Source organism: Homo sapiens, chromosome 11 (assembly GCF_000001405.40).
Source record: "Homo sapiens chromosome 11, GRCh38.p14 Primary Assembly".
NCBI lineage: Eukaryota > Metazoa > Chordata > Mammalia > Primates > Hominidae > Homo > Homo sapiens.
In genome coordinates this window covers 45408259-45423876 of record NC_000011.10, presented here as the reverse complement: position 1 = coordinate 45423876, position 15618 = coordinate 45408259, and the positions used below count along the sequence as shown (strand labels likewise).

General features: G+C 48.3%; 3 annotated features.

Moving 5' to 3' along the window:
- Positions 467–967: an enhancer, noted in NCBI's record as "H3K4me1 hESC enhancer chr11:45444460-45444960 (GRCh37/hg19 assembly coordinates)". NCBI's record gives its function as "activates a minimal SCP1, AML or CMV promoter by ChIP-STARR-seq in naive H9 embryonic stem cells {active_cell/tissue: H9 hESC(naive)}" and the evidence as "EXISTENCE:reporter gene assay evidence [ECO:0000049][PMID:30033119]".
- Positions 11429–12090: an enhancer, noted in NCBI's record as "H3K27ac-H3K4me1 hESC enhancer chr11:45433337-45433998 (GRCh37/hg19 assembly coordinates)". NCBI's record gives its function as "activates a minimal SCP1, AML or CMV promoter by ChIP-STARR-seq in primed H9 embryonic stem cells {active_cell/tissue: H9 hESC(primed)}" and the evidence as "EXISTENCE:reporter gene assay evidence [ECO:0000049][PMID:30033119]".
- Positions 12091–12751: an enhancer, noted in NCBI's record as "H3K27ac-H3K4me1 hESC enhancer chr11:45432676-45433336 (GRCh37/hg19 assembly coordinates)". NCBI's record gives its function as "activates a minimal SCP1, AML or CMV promoter by ChIP-STARR-seq in primed H9 embryonic stem cells {active_cell/tissue: H9 hESC(primed)}" and the evidence as "EXISTENCE:reporter gene assay evidence [ECO:0000049][PMID:30033119]".

The window sequence follows — 15618 nt, the reverse complement described above, 5'->3', positions numbered from 1 at the left end:
ATGCCAGGCATAATTGGGGTAGGGTGGGGGTGGGGAGGGAAAGGGAATGCCTCTGCTGAATTTGAATTAGAAACTTTAGCTATTATAAAATGGCAACAGTCCCGTTGGTACTGGCAACACTCAAGTGGCCACCTCCCACGACAGAGCTCTGGGGAAGGTTTTGGTCCTTGTAAAGTTTGCCCCTTGGTCTGAGAGGCGTGACTCTTCAGGCAGGGTAGCTGTTGATCCCATGCCAGAGTGTCTGACCTCCCGGCTGGGCTAAGAGGAGGAGACTGGTGCCAGCTAGCACTGAGCCTTCAAGCCCCGACCCTCAGGCATTCAATAACGGGAATAACGGGGTTTTCCCCCATCTAAGCAGAAAACGTCAGACTCCTTGGGCACATTGGGTCAGCCTTGGGCAGATGGTCTGGCTGGGCAACTTCAGAGGGAGGCGGAAGTTTAAGGAAGTCTCTGAAGTCGCTCACACATCTGCAGAGGCTAAAACAGCAATTTCCTTTTGGTGGCTGGACATGGTGTTCCCAGAGGAACACGTGGCCCCCAGGTTCTCGTGGGCAGCCCCTGTTGTCCCCGATCTTTTCTTCTGCTGTTTGGCCTGATCAGAGCCAGAACAAACCTGCCCAAGAGCTGACGGTTCACACAGCAACAGATGCTGCCCAGCCCCCACCAAGGGCCAGGGCCACCAAGATGAATAAGATATAGCTGTGCCCTTGAGGAGCAGGGAGCATGCCAAGAATCCTTGCTTCATCACCAAGTGGGTTCCGGAAGTAATGACCATAGTAGCCACTGTAATTTATTGAGAGCTTACTGTGTGCCAAGCACTCTACATACATTACTTCATTGTATTACCATTATGAGCCACTGGAAAGTGAATCCTGTTTCCAGATCCATTTAACAGATGAGAAGACTGAGGTTCAGAGAGGTTAAGCCAAACATTAAGTGCCATAGGAGAGACTTGAACCCAAGCCAGATGCCTAAGCCTTTATCCTTGACCAAGCTCTGCTGCCCATACCCAGTGTGTCTGGAGTAAGTGGGACCCCAGCCCCACCAAATCTATATTCCAGGGTCCTTGCCTTAGTTTCTCTACACCATACATTCTCAGTGGGGACGATATTGCCCCCTAACACAGCAACAATTTGTTTTCTGTGTCGGGGAACAGAACAAAAAATATTACTTGTTTTACATATAAAGCATACATACAGTATATAACAGATATAGAGCTTACCTGTAATATTAAAAGTTTATGGGGAGTGCAATTAGGAGCAAGTGTCTGGTGCATAGTAGGTGTTCAGGAAACAGCCATCCCCTGCTTCACTGCCTGCTGGAGCCACACATGAATTGGTCTCAATGGGAGCTTTTGTGTATAGGCCTCAGTCTGCCTGGGCCCAACTCCACCCTCAGGCTTTTGGCCCTGGCAGGCTCCATGCCCTAGTCAGCATCCGATAGCACCCAAGCTCACCCTGAACATCCCTGGTGCCTCCTTGGAGGCTCCCGCTCCCCAGAGTTGCCTCCTGGGACTTGTTATAGGTTAAACAGGTAAAGGCCTAGCTCGGCTCAAATGAAACTTGAACACTTCGGGTCGTTGTTGTCAATTTTCCCAACACAGGGAAAAAGGTAATTGTCAATTAACGAGCCCATCAACTGAGGCAGGAGGAAAATCAATAACATGGACCAATACAGAGCTTTCTAATGCCAGTCAGGAATCCAGGAGCGGGAGCCTTTCAAACAGGTACATGGAGTAATTGGCTTTTCCCTTGTGACCCATCCTGCGGACTCTACAACTCTCCAATTAACATGTACCGTTGACAGGCACACAATTATTTGGGTTCACTGTGCCCCAGCCAGTGTTTGTTCAATCAAAACTTGCAAACACGTGGAAAGTGCACAGAATAGCAAATGCAGGGTGTCTCTAGGGGAAGCCAAGTAGTGAATGGGTCTTAAAGGAACCTTGGATTTGACTTCTGTTTCAGAGATCTGCCCTGAGTCTCAGCTCAGATGCTGGCTCCACACCCCTGTTCTGGCCAGCCCCTGACTGGACCTGTCTCCATCCTCATGGGGGAACTCAGAGGAGTCTGCCCATGGCTTGGCCAGCACTCTCCTCCCACAGCCTATGAGAGAGGAAGGGACCAGCCCCCTCCCACCAGCTCCACCAGAGCTAGGAAACAGCTGGGTCTGTGCTTTTGCAGAGGAGGCTCCTACTGCCTAGAACACCATTTCTCACCTCCTCTACCTGGGTCATCTAGGTAAGCCTCCAAATCCTCAGAGATTCTTCCAGAGGTCAAGGGCCCTTCTACTGTGCACCCATGCCATCCTGGCACCACTTCTTCCTTAGCATGTATGCCATCTAATTACACCCATTGGATCACCTCCCTCTTTTCCTCACTAAAAAGTGAGCCTTTGATGTCAGGGACTAAATTTATTTCTCTTTAAACATCATTAGATTATAAGGTGCCAAGTAAATTGTTGTTAGATGGAAGTATGGATAGGTTTTGCCAAAAAGGGTGGGTACATGGATTGATGAACTTGTGGGTGCACAGAGGATCAGGAAGAGGAAGAGGAATGGATAACTAGCAGGGAATAAAGATGGCTGAGTGGTTAGAGGATAAGAAGGGAGAATGGGTGTTGGGTGAAAAGAATAGGAGGGTACATGGGTTTGAAAAGAGGAAGGGTAAGAGACATGGAGGCTAAGTGGTTGGTGGGTAGGTAAGTCCATGGAAGGCCATTCAATGCATTGGTTAGGAGTGTGTTCTCTGGAGCCAGATGTCTTCGGTTGAATCTCAGCTCTGGTATTTCCTGGCTGCGTAATCATGGGCAAATCAATCCTTTTCTCTGGACCTCAGTTTTCTTTCTTATCAGAATGGGAATAATAATAATACAACTTTCCTCTTAAGCTTATTGTGAGGACTAAATTATACCTAGGAAACACTTCCAACAGTGGCTGGCACAAAGAGGACTGAATAAACATTAGTCACTGTGATTTTTGTTATTACCACACTTCGTATTAATAAATGGAGACATGAATGGTTGGATGAATGTGTAGATGGTTAGGTAGATGGGTAGATAGGTGGATGACGGGAAAATGGATAGATGGGCGAGTTAATTCTTATGTAGGTGAGTGAATGGATGGATAGTGGGGAGGAAGAGCATGGGAGTGGGATGGACAGAGAAATGGCTGCTCTGTGCCTAGGGTAGCAGATGCATCTATCAAAATCCTGTTGGACTCCTCCCTTTTAAATTCCTGCTCCTGGCACAGTTCTTTTGTTCTTTCTTCTGGAACCAAGCAGCTGGTAACTCAGTCCCTGTACTCCTCTCATAGAGCTCTGCCCCCAGCCCAAACCAAGTCTCCTCCTAGAAGCTGACACCCCTAGGCCTCCTCTGAATCTGCTGGGAGCTTGGGCTTTCAGTGATCCGCTGGAAGGAGTAGGACACAACTTCCCTCTATCGCTCCTTATTACTGTTGAGGTCATGGAATTGCCCTTACTCCCCCCAGGACACTGAGGGAATTGACTGAGCACCTCCTACTTACCAGTCACCTGGCACCAGTTATTTTATTTCATCCTCATTACAACCCTAGAAGGTAGGGTATAACTATTCCCGTTTTACACGTTAAGAAGTCAAGGGCTTGGAGTCACAGAGAACAAGGAGAGGAGTAAGGATTTGAACCCCAGTCTCCTACTCCAATGCCAAAGCTCCTTCCACAATCCCAAACTTCTTGGGATCCTCAGAAAGTCCTGTCCCATTTCCAGGGTGCATACAAAATGCTGCTTGGGAACAAAAGCTGGAATGGTGCCATGATTCTGGACAGAAAAATGTCTTCTAGGGATAAAATTATATTTCTTATTGATTTTGTAGTAGAGCAGCTTGGCTAGAAACAAGTTCTGTTTATCAGTTTAAAGAGTTCAGCCACCCCTGGTCCACAGCCCTACTCCTATAATGGTGAAGAACATGGACATATTTTCCCCTTTGGATGCAAGGATACTGCTACCTGATGTGTCATCTCCCCATGGGAGTGGTCCTGGGACTGGCCAAGTGGGTGACCTGGGTCTTCTCTGCCCCATCTCTTGGGGTGGCAGCTAATCCTGAAATAGCTTCAGTAGAGACTCACTTTCAGGGTATCTTGGATCTTAAATGGGATTTTTGGGGACCAAAAACCTACCAGAATCATGAGTGGATCCTGAATTGTGGAATTTCAGGCACTGCATCAGCCAGGTGCCTCCCGCATCACCCCATGTGGGCAGTTGGACATGCCTCTTGGTCAGGCACAGTCTTCTCCCTGGGCCAGGCTCTTTGAGATAATTAATAAATATCTAAAAACTTAGTGTTATATGATGTTCAAAGCACCATTTCTTATTATTTAAGAATCTCACTTATGAACTTGAACAGTCAAATTCCAGATGCATATTAGGTAATAATTCAGTAATACATTTTGAAAATATGCTATGATTAAGTAATATTTAACCCAGGAATGCAGGGTTAGTTCAATATCAGAAAAATTATTATATAATACAGCATACTAGCAAATTAAATAGAAAAATCAGAGTATCACTTCAAAAGATGCAGAAAACATATTTAATAAACTCCAACATGTACTCATAATAAAAACAAACAAACTTTTGGCAAAGTAGGAAAATAAACAAACTTTCCTAATCTGTTCAATTTTATCTATCAAAAAATTAAAGCAAACATCACATTCAATGATGAAACTTTAGACATAGTTCTGCTAGTCAGGAACAAGATAAACAAAATTTCTGTCATTGATTTTGTTCAACACTGAACTGGGTATCCTAATCAATGCAATAAGAAGAGAAAAATACATAAATTGCATAAGAATTAGAAATCAACTGTATTAGTCCATTTTCACACTGCTGACAAAGACATACCCAAGATGGGACAAATTACAAAAGAAAGAGGTTTAATTGGGCTTACAGTTCCACATGGCTGGGGAAGCCTCACAATCATGGCAGAAGGCAAGGAGGAGTAAGTCACGTCTTACATGGATGGCAGCAAAGAGAGAGCTTGCGCAGGGTAACTCCTCTTTTAAAAACCATCAGATCTTGTGAGAGTTATTCACTATCACAGAACAGCATGGGAAAGACCTGCCCCTGTGATTCAATTACCTCCCACTGGGGCCCTCCCACAACATGTGGGAATTCAAGATGAGATTTGGGTGGCGACACAGCCAAACCATATCAGAAACAAATCTGTCTTCACTTGCATTCCTATATAGAAAATCCCAAAGAATCTCCAAGAATGAGTAAGAGCTCACCACAGTTGCGAGGTGAACTCAAGGTCAATATATAGACATAGATTGTGTTCCTGTTCATTAGCAATAACCAATTCAAAACTGTAATAAAAAAATACTATCAAAACAGCAAGACATCCTGAAAGGTACCTAGGAATAAATTGAGCAAAAGATGTGCCTGATTTTATGGAGAAATTTATACAGCATTACAGAAGGAAATAAAAAGACAAACTAGAAAGACTGAGGGGGTTATGGGAAATGAGAATGACGGAGAGAGGGCAGGTGAGAAGACTTCTCCAAGGCCCATGCCATGTGGACTTTGTACAGGTTGAGATAAAAGTTAATGGAAAAAGCAAAGAATGATTAGGATCCTGGACTATGGGCACTTGAGTAAACTTCTTTCTCGCAAGGGGCTGGCTGCACTTCCATGCTCATTTATTAAAGCATAGATCATGCACATGCTATTTCGTCACTAGCTTTTTCCCACTTAACAATATAGCATGGATATTTCCCAGATCATTAAATGGTGTTTGATTTTTAAAAATATATTGAGAACAGTTCTCCAAGTCGGACAAGCCTGGGCATTCCCCCTATTTCAGAGATGAGGACACCGAGGTGCTAGGGAAGGAGGAAGATTCACCCAGCACCTATTACATATCATCCAGTTTTCCCAGCCACCCTAGGATACAGAATATTTTTCCTCTATTTTACAAATGAGGGAATGGGGCAATGCAGGTTCCAGCTGCTGAATCACAGGGCTGGGACTCACACCTGTCTTTTTGTCTCTCTCAGAATGCTCAGCATAGTGCTGTGTGGAAAGAAATTTATTCAGTCATCCAACACGTGCTGTGTGCCCACTCTGCCTGGCATTGTGGGACAACTTGAGAGGCAGCAGTGAACAAAATCAAGATCCTGACTAAGTTTCCTGGGAGTGATACAACAAGCTCCTTCTAAAGGTTCTTCCTCACCTCTTCCAGCTTCTGGCAGCTCCTTGCATTTTTTGGCAGCGTAATTCCAGTCTCTACCTCTTCCTGTGGCCTTCTTCCCTGAGCCTCTGTCTCAAATCTCTCTCTCTCCTTTCTCTTTTTTTTTCTTTTTTTTTTTTCTTGAGACGGAGTCTCGCTCTGTCGCCCAGGCCGGACTGCGGACTGCAGTGGCGCAATCTCGGCTCACTGCAAGCTCCGCTTCCCGGGTTCACGCCATTCTCCTGCCTCAGCCTCCCGAGTAGCTGGGACTACAGGCGCCCGCCACCGCGCCCGGCTAATTTTTTGTATTTTTAGTAGAGACAGGGTTTCACCTTGTTAGCCAGGATGGTCTCGATCTCCTGACCTCATGATCCACCCTCCTCGGCCTCCCAAAGTGCTGGGATTACAGGCGTGAGCCACCGCGCCTGGCCTCCTTTCTCTTATAAGGCTCCAGTCATTGGATTTAGGGCCCTCCTTAAATCCAGGATGAACCCATCTCAAGATCCTTAACTTAATTTGTAAAGAGCTTATTTCCAAATAAGACGAAATCATAGGTACCAGAGGCTAGGACTTGGACATAATTTTGGGCCAGAGTCCAATTCAACCCACTACATTCTAATGGAGGAAAATGGACACCAGCCTACTTTGTAATGGAGGAAAATGGACAACAAATAAATATATAGCATGTGAAATGGTAAAGAATGCTGTTCCAAAGAAGGGGAAAAGAGGGAAGAAAGAATCTATGGGGGCAAGCACTGCAGTTCTAAATGGGGCATTCAGGGAAGGCCTCACTGTGAAAGTAAACATTTGAGCAAAGACATGAAGGTGGCCACAGAAAAAGCCACATAAGTATCAGCATGAAAAGTGTCCCAGGGAGAGGAAAATAGCAAGTATAAAAGCCTACAGGAAGGAGCATGCCTGGAAAGAACTGAGCATGGGGAAGAGAGGGAGGAAGGCAGTGGTGGGACTTGGATCACAGAGGACCTCATGGGCACTGTTCCTCTGACCAAGATGAAAGCCATTGGAGGGATGGTTTTGAGCAGAGAGGTTGATGTAACAGAGAATGTTAGCTGCCTTATGGAGACCAGTGAGGAGGCAACTGCAGCAACCCAGATGGGAGATACTGGCTTGGACCAGGTAGCAGCAGCGGAGGTGAGGAGGATTGGTGGAATCCTGGGCGCATTTTGAAGATTGGGTCAGTAGCATTTCCTAATAGATGTGGAATGTGATAAAAAGAGAAGAGTCCCAGATAACAGTGAGGTGTGTTAGTCTAAGCAATTGCAAAGATGGAGTTGCCATTAACTGAGTTGGAGAAGGATGTAGGTGGAACAGAATTATAGGGGAAAGACAGGAATTGAGTTTTGGACATGTTGAGTTTGAGATATTGTATTAGTCTGTTTTCACACTGCTATGAAGATACTACCTGAGACTGCATAAATATACAGGAAAGAGGTTTAATTGACTCACAGTTCCACATGGCTGGGGAAGCCTCAGGAAACTTACAATAAATGGCAGAAGGGGAAGCAAACTCATCTTTCTTCACAAGGCAGCAGGAGAGAGAAGTACAGAGCGAAGGGGAGAAGAGCCCCTTATAAAACCATCAAATCTCGTGAGAACTCACTCTCATGAGAACAGCATGGAGGAACCATCCCCATGATCCAATCACCTCCCATGAGGTCCCTCCCCCAACACATGGGGATTACAATTTGGATTATAATTCAAGATGAGATTTAAATGGAGACACAGAGCCAGACAATATCAGATATCAACTAAGAAGAGATGATGTTTAAATAGTTGGATATTTGAGTCTGGAGTTTGTGGCGAGGTCTGAGCTGCAGATATGAATTTGGTTGTCAGCATAGAGACAATATTTAAAACTGTGAGAATGGATAAACAGGAACAAGGACTAACCTTCGCAAAGCACACCTCAACATTAAGAGATCGAGGCGGGGTGCGATGGCTCATGCCTGTAATCCCAGCACTTTGGGAGGCTGAGGAGGGTGGATCACAAGGTCAGGAGTTCGAGACGAGCCTGGCCAACATAGTGAAACCCCGTCTCTACTAAAAATACAAAAAATTAGACAGGCACAGTGGCAGGCACCTGTAATCCCAGCTACTCAGGAGGCTGAGGCAAGAGAATTGCTTGAACCCGGGAGGTGGAGGTTGCAGTGAGCCTAGATTGTGCCACTGCACTCCAGCCCAAGTGACAGTGTGAGACTCTGCCTCAAAAAAAAAAGTGAGAGATTGAAGAATGGGACCCAACAAAGGAGGCTGAAATGTGTGACCAGTGAGGTGGGAAGAAAACTAGGGGAGGGTGGTGTCTGGGAACCAAGGGAATAGTGGTTTAAAGAGGTGGTGATCAATCTGTGAAATGCTGCAGCTGGGTCAAGTAAGACGAGCACTGAGGAGTGGCTTTTGGTGCCTTAGAGGTCTTTGGTGTCCTTGGTAAGAGCAGGTCCAATGGAACTGTAGAGATGAAAGCTGGCTGGAGTGGAATTAAAACAGAGCAGAAGAGGAACTGGAGACACCCCGCAGAGACAACTACTTACAGGTGTTTTGCTGTAAAGAAGTAGAAGGAAATGGAGTAGTGCTGGCTGAGATGGTAGGGCCAAGAGATGTTTTATAACTTTCTAGAAAGGGAGAAACAGCAGCACGTTCATATGCTGAGGGGAATGACCAGATAAAGAGGGGAAATTGGCAATACAGGATAAAGCAGAGGAACTCTCTGGACACTGTGCTCCAGGAAGCTAAAGTGGATGGGACCTGGGGCTCAGGTCTAAGGAAGGGCTGCCTTAGGCGCATGGGCAATCCGTTTCATCAACGGGAGAGAAGGCAGAGGATGTTGCAGGCACAAGTGCTGGAAGTGGGTACCTGGGGAGCTGGTGGAAGATCTCTTCCAATTGCTTCTATTTTCCAAGTAAACTCGAGTAAGGCCTTCAGCTGAGGGGAGGAATGGAGGAGGAAGAACTGGAGGCAAGAGAAGGCAGATCTAGGAGAGGGGCAGGATGAATGCACTGGAGAAAATATTAATAAATAAAGCAATTGAAGGCAGCACAATGGACCCACTTGAGAGCTGTTTGCTGTGTGCTGGTTGAAAGAGGAAGTAAATGAATGATTTTGAACTCCATGAGGACGCCTCTATATTGTGCTGTTTCTAGTCCTCAGCACAGAGCCTGGCATTTGATATGGATTTGTTGATTGATAACCGAATGAATTAATGAGCACATGAGTAGCAAAAAGAAGGGCTGTCCTGCCTGTCTGAGGGTGTTTTTCATTCAGCCACCATGATCTCCTTCTCTTGGAAGGCAGAGTGAGACCCCAGGCAGCTGTAAGACCTGAGGCACCAGCCATATTGAAGGAAGTTAATTAACTCTGCGTGTTTTTCCCTTCTGTTCTCAACTGTGGAAAGCTTGCCTTTGTTCCTGACAACCTCAATTAGCTCCTGCTTCTCCTGAGCTCCCCCATCCCCACCAGAAGGCAGTTGCTGTGGTCACTGGCCTGTTTCTGGGCAAGCAAGGTAGCCTGGCTTCCCCTGCAGCCTCCTACCTCCTCAGACCCCACGGGCACTCCCTGCACTGGGTGTGCCCAGTGACAGGGCAAGATGGTGCCATGAGCCCTCCCAACCCACCCCTGCTGAACAGTGAGGCTGCCCTGGACTCACTCCAAAGCCCAGGCATCCCGCCCGGCCACTCCCATCTCTTGACCCCTGAAAAATGCCCTCTCCTGGGCTTTTTGTCCAAGGCAGCCAGGCCCTACCTGGGCCTCTGCTTCTTCAGTGCCTTGTACAGTGATTCCTGTCCTGTGCAGACAGAGATGCTGTGATCCCAGGAGAGATCTGGGCATTGGGACCCAGCACGTGTAGTTTATAAATCTCCACAGGTGATACGGTTTGGCTGTTCCCCCCACCCAAATCTCATCTTGAATTGTAGCTCCCATAATCCCCACGTCTCATGGGAGGGACCCAGTGGGAGGTAATTGAAAGACGGGGCAGGTTTTCCTGTGCTGTTCTCGTGACAGTGAGTAAATTTCACAAGGTCTGATGGTTTTATGACAGGCAGTTCCCCTGTACAAGCTCTCTTGCCTGCCACCATGTAAGATGAGCCTTTGCTCCTCCTTCCTCCATGATTGTGAGGCCTCCCAGCCATGTGGAACTGTGAGTCCATTATACCTCTTTTTCTTTATAAATTACCCAATCTCGGGTATTTCTTCATAGCAGTATGAGAATGGACTATTACACCAGGTGTTTTTAAAACATAGCCAAGGTTGAGAACCACCTCATCCTCCATAAAACCAGGCCAATCATTCCTTTGTCATTATGAGGAATTTTTTTTAAAAAGCAGAGCAGCTAGTATTTATTGAGCAATTACTATGTGCTCAGCACTTAGTCTTCCTTAACCGCCATAGCAGTCCTATGAGGTAGGTATCATTAGTCACATTTAACAGATAGGGAAGCAAGCTCAGAGATAGGAGTAAACTTGTTCTGGGGCGTTTAGCTGTAAGTGGGCAGAGTGAGGGTTTGAACCCAGGTCTGTGTGACTCCAAGGCAGGTTGACATTTGCACCTGGCACATGGTGGGCCTTTGTCCATATGGGCTATTTTCTTTCTTTTCTCAAATATACAAATAATGATAATCCCAAGCAGGACAAGTGAAGTGTTTTTTGTTTTTTGTTTTTATTTTTAATCTGGGCTACAGACCAGACCAGTGGTAGGCAGGGATGTCAGTGAGGTGGTGCAGTGCAGCCCACCTGGAAGGTGTTGGGAGGGCTGGGTGAAGGAGTGGAGGGGGCATTTGAACTGGGAATTTAAAAGCCACTGAAGGTCTCTGAGAAGGAAAGTGATCAGACCAGAGCAGGAAAGAATCAGCAGGGGAGGGGAGGTAAACAGGAGGTGGTAAGCCCAGTCGGGAGGTTACTGCAATAGTCCAGGCAGGGAGGAGGGGCAGGCAGGTGACAAGCTGCACACAGGGCCATACAGGCATCCAGGGCAGCCCCTGCACCCAGCTACCTTTCTGCTGGAAGGCCGTTTTCACAAGGCAGCCGGAAGCACTCCCGGGTAATCTCGTCTGGAGATGACTGCATTTCATTATAATTTAAGCCTTTCTTGGGCTTCATCAAAGGCTATGAGTGTCTTGAAAAAGAGAAGCATCTCTTTCCTCAGGTAAGGGGAAAACACGCCAGAGCTTTCTCTTCTAATATAAACTAGACAAGGAGATGCAGCTGAGCTTGGCAGAGCCTGCCGGAGAACGCTAATAGACTCGACGAGGGAAGAATTATAGAAAGAGACAGCTCCAGAGGGTGGTGGGGCAGGAAGAGAAAGAGGCCCCGAGACTGCCAGCCCCAGGTGGGCTAGTAAGGAGCTGGATCAGTGTCAGCAGATGTGGCCCGAGGGCCTGCATAGACTCAGCATCTCATCTGGCGAGAAGCTTCTCTGCCTGGAGACCAGAGAGATAAGACCCCTCGCCCCTAGCATCCTTCCGGCTGGTTTCCAGTGATCCCATTAATTATGGAGGCTCGGGGACTGGAGTGGAATCCTTAGCGTTTCCTGTATGGGAGCTCTCAGTGGGGGAGGATGGAAGTGACCTAGAAACATTTAGCCCGGGGAAAAAAATAACCCAAGCAGGTTTGACACTCCCACCTGAGGCTGGGAAGGGGTTGGGGGCTATCATGTGTATATGAGTGTTTTAAGATATTATCTCAGACAGTTTGATGTCCCATGAAACATTAAGAAGGTGTTTTGCTTTTTAAAAATCAGATTATTTTCCTTTTGCCTTTAATAAAAACCAGCACTGGTCTCTGACTCACAGGCTTAAAACAGCCTTCACTGGTTACCGAGGATGGGATTTCAGCAGTGGCACAGGCTGGAACGGTTCTCAAATAGGAAATCGAATACTGGGAAGACAAAGGAGGGGAGAGGGAAGAGGGGAGGGAGAGGCAGAGCAAGAAATAAATTTGGAGTTAATGCTGAGTGAGGGAGGGCTTCACTGCTGGCTCCCCGGGTGCTCCTGAAAGGCTGCTCAGCCCCAGGAGTGAGCAAAGCAGGAGTTCTTGGCTCCATCCTGGCAGCCCATTTGTCCCCTGCCAGCCAGCCCTCCGGACCACAGGGCTACTCTTCCCAGCTTGTGAGGGAAGCGTCCTCTGTATCAGAGGCCTTTGAATCTTAAGCAAATGCCCTGTCACACAGGAGAGAGGCTGTAACCTCCCCCAGGGAGGGCACGGTCACTCAGAGTTGATATGGTGGCTACAAGGCTGATGGTCACCAGTCATCAGGGCCTGGGAGGCAGGGTGGGAGGCAGGGTGGGAGGCAGGGCAGGAGGTCAGGTGAGAGGTGGGAGAATGGGGAAGGGGGAAGGTGAGGATTGTAAGAGAAGGTGGTCCCTGCTCTAGTCTCTCTCTCTTTCTCTCTGTGTTTGCCTTGCTTTGTCTTTCTCTTCTATCTTCCTCTCAGTCTCTGGATCATTTTATCTTATGGTCTCTCTCATTCTTTGTCTCCATCCCTCTTTCTCTGTCTGAATCTTTTCCTCATTTCAGAAAAATGGCTGAACTTGTTAAGCCAGAGATCAAACACCCCAGCGGGCTGAGTGCGGACAAGGGAACACGGCTTTAACATCTGCTGCTCTCTTTCTGTGCGACACAGAGGGCTCCCCACAGAGAGGAAGGGCAGGGAGGTGGAGGCGGGGTGTGGGTGAGAATTCCTGCAAACCTTGGCATTGTCCTGGTCGGGGGTCGGGTTGGGAGGGGTGATAAGGACAAGGGAAGGGAAATCGGACAAGAGACAGACCCACATGCTGACCAGGGTACTCACAGACAGACAGGGAAGGCCCCCACCTCGAGGGAGGAAGCAGATCCAGTGAGGGCCACCATGCCCCAGGGGAGTCAGGGGCTCTGAAGCTGCTGCCTGACAACCTCTGCACTTTGCACAGAGTGAAAGGAAATTTATAGGAGTGAAGGACGTGGACTAAAGCCCTCTGAACTAGCAGCATTAAGAATGTCATTTCAGCAAGTCCTCCTAACAGCCCTGCCAGGGTACTCTTCCTGCCCTAAAGATGCGTGAAGTCACCAGGCCAGGAATGTATGCAGTGCCCCTGGCCAGGGAGGTGCAGGGCTGACTCCTTGGCCTGCACTTTTTCCAGCCATACTTATTCCTGCAGAAGATGGAAGCTTGTCTTGCAGCAGGTTCAGAATAAAGGCAATTGGGTGAGGGCGCAGCCTTGGTCTGAACCTAAAGGGAGAAGATGGAGGGACAGAGGGTGTCCAAGCCTGCTGAGAGGACCTGCCCTCCAGGGTTGCCTTTCAGAGGCAGGTTGGGAATGTAGCTCCCTGGGCCCAGGCTCATTCTGAGAGACAGGTCATTCTGTTGCTCTGAGGAAAGGGAAGGGAAGGAGGAAATGAGAGAGGGAGAGAAAGACAGGGAGAGAGAGAGAAGCACAGTCTTCCCACTTCTTTCTGCCCTCTTCCTGGAATGCGGACCTGCCAGTCGCCAGAAAGAAAAGAGAATATTTGATCAATCTATTGAGCTTACTGTGTGCCTGTGCCAGGCATGGTCACAGACAAGCTCTTTTCTCACCATCACAACAATCCCATCCCTATTTTACGGAGCAGTAAACTGAGGCAAGAAGAGCTTAAGCAATTTGCTCAAGCTCCCAGAGCTGGTAAGCAGCAGAGCCATGGTCCTCATGCACAGCCCCCACTTGCATATTTTCCTGGGCCCCAGTTCATCTCTCTCTCTCTCTTCTCCAAACATAAAGCCTGGAGCAATGAGCAATGCAGGCAGGCCCTGCTAGGGCAGTGCCACAGGGAGAGGAGAAGATAGAGGACAGAGCTGGCCCACACACAGTATCACAGCAGCCTGCAGAGGTGTCATTTTTAACAGCAGCAGCCTGTCTATGCCTCTCCTCTGCCAGCTCTCGATGACATCAGGCCCCTTCTCCAGGGAGCATGACTCAGGTCGAGTGCGATTGTGGTCAGTGGGGCACACGGATAGGTGAGGTAGGGCTGGAGGAGGGGACCAGGGAGTCTGCTGTAGCGTCCGACAAAGGGGCCTCTTTATTCCCTGAGCTGGGATGTGCTTGGGGCTCCCAACCTTATGGGGCTGGAGATGAAAGGCAGGGGCTTCCGCTATGTCACCTGGACAGGCCCTGAGCAGGAGAGGCAGCCATTCCTGTGAGAGGGGAGTGGGGTGCTGGGAGGAGGGGCTGGGTACCAGACAGGTTGCCAGGCACGCTTTACATGAGCATGTGAACCGAGGCCCCACACCTGATACCGACATACACATGTAACACACAGCAGCACCTACCATATGGCTGATGTGCGTACCTCGTGCCTGCCTCCGACATGAGCAACCTGCACCCGATGCTGACATGATTGTAAAAATGAAACTCGGATATGGCTCCTGACATTCGACACTGTTTACTTAATCCATGACGGATACGCAGCTTTCACATACTCATCCACTCAACCGTGACTTTGAAATGCCCACCCCCATGTGCCAGATGAGCTGCATCTCACACAACACCTTGACCTGTGCACTTGGCTTGGTATGATGCTAACCTAACACAAAGGTCAAGCCGACAGCCACAGGACAGGTTGGACCAGCTGCCTGGTTTTCTTTACCTTTCAGGGTCAAAAAATGTCTTGAGCCGATTTTTCAATATCAGGAGATTGACATACAAATCAGAAGGTCTGGCTTTCCTGGGTGCTAACTCACCGGGCTTCACTGGCTGGTGCTGGACAGGGCTCTCCCAATTCAGCAGGAACCCTGCCCCTGCCATGTCTCATTCCCACAGCCCACCTGGCTCTGCAAGCCCAGGGCTTTGGGACCTGGGTCTGACACGTGCCTGTGGTCCCCAAAACAAGTTCTTTCTGGTTCTTAACAAATTCTTCACAACTTCCCAGCTCAAAAGGATGGAGGCAGCCAGCTACAAGTGAGAAGGCCTGATCCTAGGTCAGTGCCTGGCTGCCTGCCCTCAGATGGCAGATGATGTATTTCTTCAGGGGACACTCAGACTGGACACATTGAGTCAGTCAGGGTGGCAAGTGGAGTCCCTATGGCCTGCCCCTGAGCTTCCAGGGAATCCTGACATCCTGTCTGCATGATCAGTGAGTCAGGCCAGGCCACTCTGGGGCTGGGGAGCCAGGCTGACCCTCCACAGTGGTGACTGTGGGAACCAGAGCTGGGCTGTGTGGAAGAAGGTGGAGACTTTGCCTTTCACAGGTTGCATCTCCTTCTCCAGTTCTTGTTCAATGACTGTTCCAGGGCACCTGTAATGAGACAGGCCCTGTTTGAGATATGAAGAGGGAACTAAAATTTAATCCCTTTCCTTAAGACACCCAATGTTCAGGGAGAAGACAAAAGACCACGTGTGACCCCACATTCTGGCTGACTTTACAGTTCAAGTTCAGGGAGAGGCCCAATCTA